The sequence below is a fragment of the Homo sapiens genome, chromosome 8, assembly GCF_000001405.40.
Source record: "Homo sapiens chromosome 8, GRCh38.p14 Primary Assembly".
NCBI lineage: Eukaryota > Metazoa > Chordata > Mammalia > Primates > Hominidae > Homo > Homo sapiens.
In genome coordinates, this window is record NC_000008.11 from 94793990 (window position 1) to 94806189 (window position 12200).

Consider the following 12200-nt stretch of genomic DNA (forward strand, 5'->3'; position numbering starts at 1 on the left):
TCACAAAGGAACAAGAATTCCAAACTTATAGTTTGAAATGTCTCATAAACAACCCTTTCGTATTTTAAGTTAGTAGCTTTGTATAGCTATTTAACACAGATGAGTATAGTTAGCTTTATATATATTATCCTCTGAGTCTTATCTGTGACAATGTGTATTTAGATTAAATATGTTCCTCCTGTAACTAAAGTTGCATCTTTGCAAAGGATCAAAGTTCATTTCAGCAGACACAAATTCTTTGAAAGATTTGGGCTATAAACTAACACTTCAAATTTTGTAATAATCAATATACTTTTATCAAGAAGGAAATTATTTCATGCTTAATTACCCTCCTTATTTTGTTTCCATAATAAAACTATTTTCAGAATTTTAAGTTATTTTATTTATACATGAGCTTTTTTGGTGACAGCTTCGCTGAGATATAATTCATATACCGTACAATTCACCCGTTTAAAATGTATAATTCAGCCGGGTGCAGTGGCTCATGCCCGTAATCCCAACACTTTGGGAGGCTAAGGTGGGCAGATTGCTTGAACCCAAGAGTTTGAGACCAGCCTGGGCAACATGGAGAAACCCCATCTCTACAAAAAAATACAAAAATGTAGCCGGACGTGGTGGCGCACACCCGTAGTCCCAGCTACCTGGGAGGCTGAGGCAGGAGGATCACTTAGGTCAGGGAGGTGGAGGTTGCAGTGAACTGTGATCACACCACTGCACTCCAGCTTGGATGACAGAGGGAGACCCTGTCTCAATAAATAAATAAATAAAAATAAAATATACAATTCAGTGGTTTTTAGTACGTTCATAGAGCTATGCAGTTATCACCACAATCAATTTTAACACATTTTTATTACTCCCAAAAGAAACCTCATACCCTTCTGGCTGTCAACCCAATCATTCTGTCCTCCCTAGCCCTAGGCAACCACTACTAATCTATTTTCTATCTCTATGTTTGCCTGTTCTGGACATTTCATATAAATTGAATCATACAACATGCTTCTTTCACTTGGAATCTTTTTAAGGTTCATCCATGTTGTTCCATGTATCATTCATTCATTTTTAGTGCCAGGTAATATTCCACTGTATGTATTTACCACATTTTATCCATTCATTAGTTGATAGACATTTGTGTTGTTTCTACTTTTTAGTTATTATGAATAATGCTGATAGGATTATCTGTATACAGGTTTTTGTGTGGGCATATGTTCGTTTCTCTTAGGTATATATCTAGGAGTTAAATTGCCGGGTCATATGGTAACTGGTTAACTTCAACAACCAGACTGGTTTCCAAAGTGGCTGCACCATTTTACGATCCCCCCAACAAGGGATGAGGATTCTAATTTCTCCACATCCTTGCCAATACTTATTATTTTCTTGATTATACCCACCCCAGTGAATGCAGCTATTTATCACTATAGTTTTAATTCACATTTCCATCATAGCTAATTATGTTGAGCACCTTTTCATGTGCTTATTGGCTGTCTGTATATCTTATTTGGAGCAATGTCTATTCAAATTCTTTGCCTTTTTTTTTTTTTTTTTTTTTCTTGAGACAGTTTTGCTCTTGTTGCCCAGACTGCAGTGCAATGGCACAATCTTGGCTCACCGCAATCTCCACCTCCCAGGTTCAAGCGATTCTCCTGCCTCAGCCTCCTGAGTAGCTGGGATTACAGGTGCACACCACCACACCCAGCTATCCACCTGCCTCGGCCTCCCGAAGTCCTGGAATTAGAGGCGTGAGCCACTGCGCCCAGCCCTCTTTGCCCATTTTTAAGTTGGGTTGTGTTTTTATTATTGAGATGTTAAGTATTCTTTATGTATTCTAGATATAAGGTCAAATATATGATGTGGAAATATTTCCTTCCATTCAGTTGATTCTCTTAACTTTTTTGAGTGTCCTTGAAGCACAAATGCTTTTAGTTTTGTTTGCATTATTTAATTCATTCTTTTTTTTTTTTTTTTGAGACAGGGTCTTGCTCCGTCACCCAGGCTGGAGTGCAGTGGCACAGTCACAGCTCACTGCAGCCTCGAACTCTCAGGCTCTTCACTCACATTTAATATTTTTGATGTAGTTGGCTTTACACTTGCTATTTTACTATTTTTCTAAATGTTTCATTTGATTTTTTTTTAAGTGGTTACTCTAAGGATTTATCATATACATTTTTTTTTTTTTTTTTTTTGAGACAGGATATTGCTCTGTTGCCCGGGCTGGAGTGCAATGGTGTGATCATGGCTTACTTGCAGCTCTGAACTCCCAGGCTTAATCCATCCTCCTCCCTCAGCCTCCCGAGTAGCTGGGATTACAGGAAGGCACCACTGCACCCACCTCATTTTTGTATTTTTTGTAGAGACGGGGTTTCTCCATGCTGCCCAGTCTGGTCTCAAACTCTTGGGCTCCAGTGATCTCCCTGCCTTGGCCTCCCAAAGTGCTGGGATTACAAGTGTGAGCTACTGCACCCAGCTATCATACTAAGCAGATTTATACTAACTTAATTCCAGTGAGATACAGAAGCGTTAGTCCTAAAAAGCTCTATTCCCTCTTCCCTCTTTGATACTATTATTTTTATACATATTACATCTATATATGTTATAAACACTATAATAAATATACTTATTACTTTAGATAATTTTGTCTTTTAAAGAAACTGAGAGAACAAAAGAAAAGTATATGTAGTATTTGCTATATTAACCTTATTTGCCATTTTTGGTTCTTTTTATTTGTTGCCATGGATTCAAGATACAATCTGGTGTCATTGTCTTACTCCAGTACAGCTTTGCTTTCAACTTACCTCCTTTGTGCTGTTATGTCAAATATATATGTATCTATAATGTAAGTTCAACAATATAATTATATACGGATTATTTTATACAGTTATTTTAAAAATCAGTTTAGAGAAGAAATATGTATTTATCTTTTATAATTAAATAGTTACTTTTACCAATACTCCTTGTTTTTTTCAGCGAATTCTAATTATTGTCTGGGATCACTTGCTTTCAGCCTCAAGAACTTCCTTTAGTAATTTTTAAAAGATGAATCTGTTAGCAATGAACTTCCTCCGTGTTTGTTTATCTGGGAATGTCTTTATTTTGCTTTTTTAAAAAGATCAGTTTTAGGCTTACAGAAAAATTGGACAAAACATACAGAGAATTTCCATACACTCGGGCTCCCCTCCGCCCATACACACACAGTTTCCTCTAACTCAACACCTTGTATTTGAATGGCACATTGCTTACAATTGAGGCAAATTGACAAATTATTATTAACTAAAGACTATAGTTTACATAGGGTTCACTCTTTGTGGTGTACTGTTCTGTGGGTTTTGACAAATGTTTCTATGGGTCTCACATGTCCACTATCACAGCATCTGGAGTAAGCAGTTTTACTGCCCTAAAATTCCTGTGTGCTCTCCGTATTCATCTCTCCCTCCCTTCCCGAGTCCCTGGCAACCACTGACTTTTTACTGTCTCTGTAGTTTTGCCTTTTCAGAATGTCAGCTGTTTGGAATCATGCAGTATGCAGCCTTTTCAGATTGGCTTCTTTGACTAGCAACATGCGTTTCAGGCTCCCCCACGTCTTTTTATGGCTTCATAGCTCATTTCTTGTTATTGCTGAAAAACATTCCATTGTATGAGTATGTGGGCGTTTATTTATTCAGGGACATCATGGTTGCTTCCAAGTTTAGCCATTGTGAATAAAGCTGCCATAAATATGTGCAGGGTTTTTGTGGACATAAGTTTTCCACCCATTTGGGTAACTAACAAGAAGTGCAATTGCTTGATGGTGTGGTACTACTAACCTTTGGATTAATAAGAAACTGCCGAGCTCTCTTCCAAAATGGCTGTACCGTCTTGCATTCCCACCAGCAATGACTGAAAGTTCTGTTGCTTCATATCCCTGTCAGCATTTAGTGGTGTCAGTTTTGGATTTTAGTCATTCTAATGTGTGTAGTAACCTGGAAGTTCTGCTGGGCTCTGCCTCTGCCTCTCATTGTTACTTTAAGTGACAATTGCCTAATGACATATGATGTTGAGCATATTTTCGTATGCTTATTTGCTATCTGTATATCTTCCTTGGTGAGGTAGCTATTCATCTTTTGCCTATTCTGTCTTTTTCTTATTGTTGAATTTTTAAAGTTCTTTGTATATTTTGGATGCAAGTCCTTTATCAGATATGTGTTTCCTAAATATTCTTTCCCAATTCGTTGCTTGTTTTTTTTGTTTGTTTTGTTTTGTTTTTTGGTTTAAAGAGCCCGGGTCTCCCTTTCTTTGGGTCTCACTCAAAGGCACTGATATTCGCACACTTGTTTCTGATTTTATGGGGGCAGATGCAAATGAAGTTTGCAACAGGAAGTTTGGGGCACAGCTACAAATAAATACAAACGGAGCGAGGCATCCCTGTCCCACCCGACCTGGAAGTTCTGCTGGGCTCTGCCTCTGCCTGAGGGGTTGAGAACTCTCATCTCTTGGGTGGCCCATCATTGCAACCCTCTCCCAGCCTCTCATGGTTAAGTGGTCTTCTCCAAGACCAACTCTATTATATCTAGAACTGCAAGGCTGATGGGGTTTGGGGGAAGCAAGTATATGATTCCCTTAAATTAGTGTTCTTAAAGTTTTATGAACCTCAGCCATGACCTTTACCATGAGTAAGGAAAATGCATTACTTCCTCTCCCCTACATTTGTTGTTAATTGATGCCTTGTCCATCTCTCTCCTGACCAGCCTGTGAGCTGAGTTGGCCTTCAGGTGGTGCAGGGATCTCCCCACAGCCCTGTAGCCACAGATTTCAGACCTGTCACAAAAAGAGTGTCTTGAGGCTGGGTGCGGTGGCTCGCGCCTATAATCCCAGCACTTTGGGAAGCCAAGACAGGCGGATCACTTGAGGTCAGGAGTTCGAGACCAGCCTGGGCAACATGGCAAAACCCCATCTCTACTAAAAGTACAAAAGTTATCCAGGCATGGTGGCGCATGTTTGTAATCTCAGCTACGCGGGAGGCTGAGGCAGGAGAATCGCTTGAACCCGGAAGGCGGAGGTTGCAGTGAGAGGAGATCACGCCACTGCACTCCAGCCTGGGCAACAGAGTGAGACTTCATCTCAAGAAACAAACAAACAAATAAATAAAAGAAGAAGTGTCTTCCTACAAAACACAGCTCTCGAACAAAAACATTTCACCCGAGGCTCTCATTCTGTCTGGTAAAATGGCAAAACCTAAGTCTCCCCTCAAGGTAATGCTTCTCAAAGACGATGCAGGGAGGAGACTAAGGCACCAAGGTGGAGGGAGGGAGCCCAAGGCATGGGTCCTGGGAGCTCCTTTGGCAGCTTCTTTGGTGCTTAGAGTGGGTGCAGAGCGTAGGCTATGGCAACACTGGGCTGCGGGGCATCCAGCGGCTGCCTGCTGGCCATCTGAAGTGGGTCTGGGGTAGGTTTGGGCACTTAAGTTCTTCTGGAGCAAAGGTGCCAAGAAGTGGTAAATGTCCTGTCTTCCTAACACTTGGCCCTGCCTGTGGGTTTCACAGTTGGAAAGCATGGAACATGAAGAAAGATGTTTTGGGAGCTGAGAACTGATTCTTAAAAGGACTATTGCCGCTAGAGTGAAACAAAAAGTTCTGCTCTCCCATGAAGAATGACTCTGAAGACTGGAATAGAGAAATGTATGAATGCCAAGGCTGCACCCATGGTCAGGCACATGCATCAAAGACTGGAAGATCTTTTTCAGGACAACAGCAAAGTTTGAAAGGAAAGGGTGTTTTTCCTGTTCCTTATTGATTGTGCACCTGCTGTGTCCCTAGATGCCGGGACACTGGGGAGTGAAAGGCTGCAAGTGACTGGGCTTTCAGAGCTCATGATCTAAGGGAAGGTGACAGGGAAGAGGAATAGAAAACGAATGATACAAATAAAAATGTGAGTAAAAACCATCATTAACCCATTTAGGCTGGAGGTTGCAATTTTTTGAATTTTTGCAATCAGACCTTGGCAATGACCTTGAGCAGTAGGATATAAATAACTCTCACAAGCTTAGCATTTCAATAATGGAACACTAGGCAGAAATGGGTTAATGTAATGGAGTAAATGCAGGATTCTATGTAAGTGTAACAAGGGGACATGACTGGCCGGATGTGGTGGCTCACGCCTTAATCCCAGCACTTTGGTTGGCCAAGGCGGTAGATCACCTGAGGTCTGGGGTTCAAGACCAGCCTGCCTAACGTAGCGAAACCCCATCTCTATTAAAAATACAAAAGTTTGCCAGGCGTGGTGGTAGGCGCCTGTAATTCCAGCTACTCAGGAGGCTGAGGCAGAAGAATCACTTAAACCCGGGAGGCACAGGTTGCAGTGAGCCGAGATCATGCCACTGCACTCCAGCTTAGGTGACAGAGTGAGACTCCGTCTCAAAAAACAAAAACAAACAAAAAAAAAAAAAACAGGTGGTGGGGGGACATGACTTTGGATTTTGGGATAAGAAAAGGTCCCTGAGAAAGGAGCTTTGGTGCTGAGATCTGAAGGATGAGTAGGAGTTTCTGAGAAGGGAGCGTCCTCGATTTCTGGTGCATTTTTTGCTGCTCTGGCCTTTAAAATGCAGTAGTCATCTGCAGCCAAACAGCATGTTGACTTTTGGCTGATGCTGGTGTTTGTAAAGGATCATGACATATCTGGTGTGGGAAAGAGGGGCTGTAGTACCACTGCACTCTCCGTGACTGCTCTGCAGGAGGAGTTGAGCCCTGACACAATTGTGGGCTGAGAATTGGGATGTTTTAGTTTGGGATGGGTTTACTGAAAAGAAAGGTGTTTCTTCTCAGGAGGTTGAGGCTGCAGTGAGCTGTCATCATGCCACTGCGAGTTAAAATAAGCCCTTGATAGGCTGGGCGCAGTGGCTCACGCCTGTAATCCCAGCACTTTGGGAGGCCGAGGTGGGTGGATCACTTGAGGTCAGGAGTTCGAGACCAGCCTGACCAACATGGTGAAACCCCGTCTCTACTAAAAATAGAAAATTAGCTGGGCATGGTGGCAGGCACCTGTAGTCCCAGCTACTTGGGAGGCTGAGGCAGGAGAATCACTTGAACCTGGAAGGTGGAGGTTGCAGTGAGCTGAGATCGCACCATTGCGCTCCAGCCTGGGCAACAAGAGCGAAACTCCATCTCGAAAAATAAAAAATAAAAAAAATTAGCCCTTGATAGAGTTAAAATATAAATAAAAAGCAGAGGCCAGGCGTGGTGGCTCACACCTGTAATCCCAGCACTTTGGGAGGCCAAGGCGGGCAGATCATGAGGTCAGGAGTTCGAGACCAGCCTGGACAATATGGTGAAACCCCATCTCTACTCAAATTACAAAAAAAGTAGCCAGACGCGGTGGCAGGCGCCTGTAGTCCCAGCTACTCGGGAGGCTGAGGCAGAAGAATCGCTTGAACCCGGGAGGCGGAGGTTGCAGTAAGCCGAGATCGTGCCACTGCACTCCAGCCTGGCAACAGAGCAAGACTCCGTCAATAAATAAATAAATAAATAAATAAATAAATAAATAAATAAATAAATAAATAAAAAGCAGAAGTTTGGTTTCTTCCTCTTCTCTGTTACTGGAAGTGATGGATCAGTGCACTAAGCTGTCCCCTTAATGTTGGAATTAGACTACAGGGTCATGTGCTTATCAGGGGTAACCTGTATCACAGTTTTCAGATAAGGACTTGGAGGCTGAATTTTAATAGTTCTGTGAAGGGCAACAGGTAAATTAGCATAGGAATGGGAGTCACTACAGCTTCCAAAAAGTGATGGGAGAAAAGTACAGAGCTTTTTCTCCTCACCACATGAGAGAACCTATTCTAACAGCCATGTTTTCTTTTCTTTTCTTTTCTTTTGAGATGAAGTCTCCCTCTGTGGCCCAGGCTGGAGTGCAGTGGCATGATCTCGGCTCACTGCAAGCTCCGCCTCCCGGGTTCACGCCATTCTCCTGCGTCAGCCTCCCGAATAGCTGGGATTACAGGCGCCCGCCACCACGCCCAGGTAATTTTTTGTATTTTTGGTAGAGACAGGGTTTCACCGTGTTAGCCAGGATGGTCTCGATCTGCTGACCTCGTGATTCACCCGCTTCGGCCTCCCAAAGTGCTGGGACTACAGGCGTGAGCCACTGCGCCCAGCCTCTAAGAGCCATGTTTTCTCCTGCATATATTTCTACCTGACCAGAGCTACATGATGTATATGAACAGATTTATTAGTCAGGACCTTTGGCTGCAAGTGACAAAAAGTCAGTTCAAATTAGCTTGAGCAGAAAAGGAATTTATTCGCTTTTGTACTAGGGAATTTTCAATCGTTGATGAGTACAGGAAGGGATAAATCCAGAGGTTCACCCAGTGTTACCATGACTCCTTCTGCCTGCCTCCACCTCTCAGTTCGTTACCTTCACCTGGCTTCATGGTCAGCAGGCATTCTGCACACCACAGCAGTGTCTGCTAGCAGCTTCAAATTCCAGAAAAGGAGGGAACATCTTTCATGATGGCCCCCGCAAAAGTACAGTGCTTTGGTAGGCCCAGGTTATTTGCCTTCCCCTACACCACTTGTCTGAGAAAAGGAGACTGAGTCTATCAATGGGAAGTCACTGGGCAGTTCTTTCCAGGCTTCTGGATTTTGCAGATCCTTATATTTCTAAAATATATGTACTTGGGGGATTGACATTAAGTTGCCAACTTTTTGTTTATTTTTTTAAGAGGTAAGATCTTGTTCTATTGCCCAAGCTGCAGTGGTGCAATCAGCCTCGAACTCCTGGGCTTAAATAATCCTCCTGTCTCAACCTCCAGAGTAGCTGAGACTGCAGGCATGCACCACTTTTTTAGAGATGGCGGGGGGAGGGGGTGTCTCACTATGTTGCCCAGGTTGGTCTCGAACTCCTAGCCTCAAGTGATCTCCCATCTCAGCCTCCCAGATAGCTGGGATTACAGGCTTCAGCCACTGTTCCCAGCCTAACTTTTTCTTTTGGTACATGAGGACACTAGAAAGGTAACCATCATTTATTAAAAACACCATTTTCTAAGAAAAAGACACTTTAACTCCAAAAACAGAAAAATATATAAGTTCAGAATAAACAAATTGTATTTCATCTATATAGTGAAATACCACTCAACAATAAAAAAGAATAAACTATTATAAACATAACTACATGAATGAATCTCAAAATAATTGTGCTAAGTGAAAGAAGTCAAAATGTACATACAGTATAATTTTACTTATATAACTAGAAAATGTAAACTCACCTATTGTGATATACAGCAGGTCAATGGTTGCCTGCAGATGGGGTGTAGAGGTTGGGGAGGGACAGGATGGAGGAATTGTAAAAGATGCAAGGAAACCTTTAGAGATGATGGACACATTCACTATCTCGATTGTGGTGAAGGTTTCACAAGTGTATATGAATGTGAAATCTTACCCAATATAACTGTATATACTCTATAACATATACTATATAATACTATACTATATACCATATAACTATATACTATATAATACTATAAACTATAATACTATAATATACTATATACTATACCATTATATATATACTATATAATACATACACTTACATAAGTACATGCAGTTTATTGTATATCAGTTACACTTCAATAAATATGTAAAAATTAGGAAAATTATTATATATGTTGCTATAATGTCATAAATGGTTCCTTGGGGTATTGAAATATGTTCTATGTTGATCTGTGAATTAAACTTTTTAGGAGAAAAGGACTTAGGCACTTATGAAGAGAGAGATTATCTTTTAAAAGAAATACTTGCATTTGTTTTATATATAATATATACAGAGCAATGTGAACATACCTTATATAAAGTATGTATATATATATTACGTGTATATATATATATAAAGTACATTCACATGGCTGTGCAAGAAATAATTTTTTTTTGAGATGGGGTCTTGATCTGTCACCCAGGCCCAGGCTTGAATGCAGTGGCAAGATGATAGCTCATTGCAACCCCTAACTCCTAGACTCCAGCAATCCTCCCGCCTCAGCCTCCTGAGTAACTAGGATTACAGGCACACACCACCACACCCAACTAAAGGAAATACAAGTTTTAAAGTAGCAAAAGCCTTTATTTTATAACCATAAAAATTTGAATGTCAGATTTAAGCAAATAATAAAAGTATACAAATAATAAAAGTATACTTCCGTTTTCATTTATAGCCACTGTTAGTAATGAGGAAAGACAGCAGAAAAGAAAGCTCAGTCAAAAAATTAAATGCGGGCCGGGCGCGGTGGCTCACGCCTGTAATCCCAGCACTTTGGGAGGCCGAGGCGGGCGGATCACGAGGTCAGGAGATCGAGACCATCCTGGCTAACACGGTGAAACCCCGTCTCTACTAAAAATACAAAAAAAAAATTAGCCGGGCGCGGTGGCGGGCGCCTGTAGTCCCAGCTACTCGGGAGGCTGAGGCAGGAGAATGGCGTGAACCCGGGAGGCGGAGCTTGCAGTGAGCCGAGATCGCGCCACTGCACTCCAGCCTGGGCGACAGAGCGAGACTCCGTCTCAAAAAAAAAAAAAATAAAAAATAAAAAATAAAATAAAATGCGCCGGGCGCGATGACTCATGCCTGTAATCCTAGCACTTTGGGAGGCCGAGGTGGGCGGATCACTTCAGTTCAGGAGTTCAAGACCAGCCTGGCCAACATCATGAAACCCTGTCTCTACTAAAAATACAAAAATTAGCTATTGTGGTGGCAGGCGCCTGTAATCCCAGCTACTCAGGAGGCTGTAGCAGGAGAATCGCTTGAACCTAGGAGGTGGAGGTTGCAGTGAGCCAAGATTGCGCCACTGCACTCCAGTCTGGGTGACAGAGTAAGACTCCATCTCAAAAAAAATAAAATAAAATAAAAATAAAAGATTAGACCCAACACTGGTTCTCTACCTTGGCTGCACAATGGAATCCTGGGAAATTAAAGCAAAAATACTGATAAGCTGTGTCCCACCTGCTGAGATTCTGACTTAATTGGTTTTGGGTGTGGCTGAGCCAGCTGAGTTGTAAAAGCTCCCCAGGTGATTGTAATGTGCATTAAACATGAGCATGCGTTATGAACCACCTGGAGGGCTTGATACACCTCAGCTGGTTGGGCTTCAACCCCAGAATTTCTGATTCAGTAGGTCTGGGGTAGTATCTGAAAATGTGCATTTCTAGCAGGTTCTCAGATAATGCTGATACTGCTGGTTCAGGAACAATACTTTGAGCACCAGTGGATTGCGGTGAGGCCAGTTAACTATTCTTTCTACCCACTAGCTCCTATCTTCCAAATCAACCTGCCAAGTAATAGGTGTGAAGCAGGTTCACTGTGGGCCAGTGTCATTCCCAGAGGAAGACTAAACATCTCACCCACTGCACCTTGGGCTATACCAGTTTCTATGACTCCCAAGAGTCTGAGAAGACAGAACACTCGCACACAGGCCGCACGCAGCAGGTCTATTACTGACTGATAGGCAGCTGACTATCAACAGGTCTATTACTGACTGATAGGCAGCTGACTATCAACAGGTCTATTACTGACTGATAGGCAACAGAAGCTCAGGAAGGCTGTCCAGGGTGGGTGAAGTCTTGTCCGCACATGCCTCACTTTCACGACAGCTGGGGGACCCTGGAAAGCAGTCTGCCCTGGGTTTTATGCCCCAGGGGCATGTGATCACCGGACTAAAGTATTGTAGGACATTCTGCTCTAGAAGAAGAGGAGCAGAGTCTGGGCTGTTCCATCCAATTCCTCCTTAAGTTGTTGCATGTCAAGAACACTATTTTTTTGTTTTGTTTTCACTTTGGCTTGTTTTAATAAAAGCATTTTTATAAGCTGGGTGGGGGAAGAAGTGAACATTGTAAAAATTTCTCAAACATTTGCTATTTTACAAGGGCAAATAAATATGTTATTAATTTTAAAAGTGAACTTACAGAACAATTCCTAAATTTTCCTGCACCTCCCCCCCGCCAGTTAAAGCGAACAAAGAATATGCATAAACATTAGAGCTTTTAATTGCTACTGGTATGAATAGCACTGTTCTAAATTTCTTTTATGTCAAACCTTAGGTGAGCCCTGTTTTTGTCTTACTAACACACATTTGTAGCGTCTTCTCTCATTTGGATGTAGAGTTAGATGCCCTCTTGGCCACTCTTACCAACCTTATTAAAGTTCATCCATTAGAAACACTTGCAAGAAAACCAATAAAGTTCATCCATTGGAAA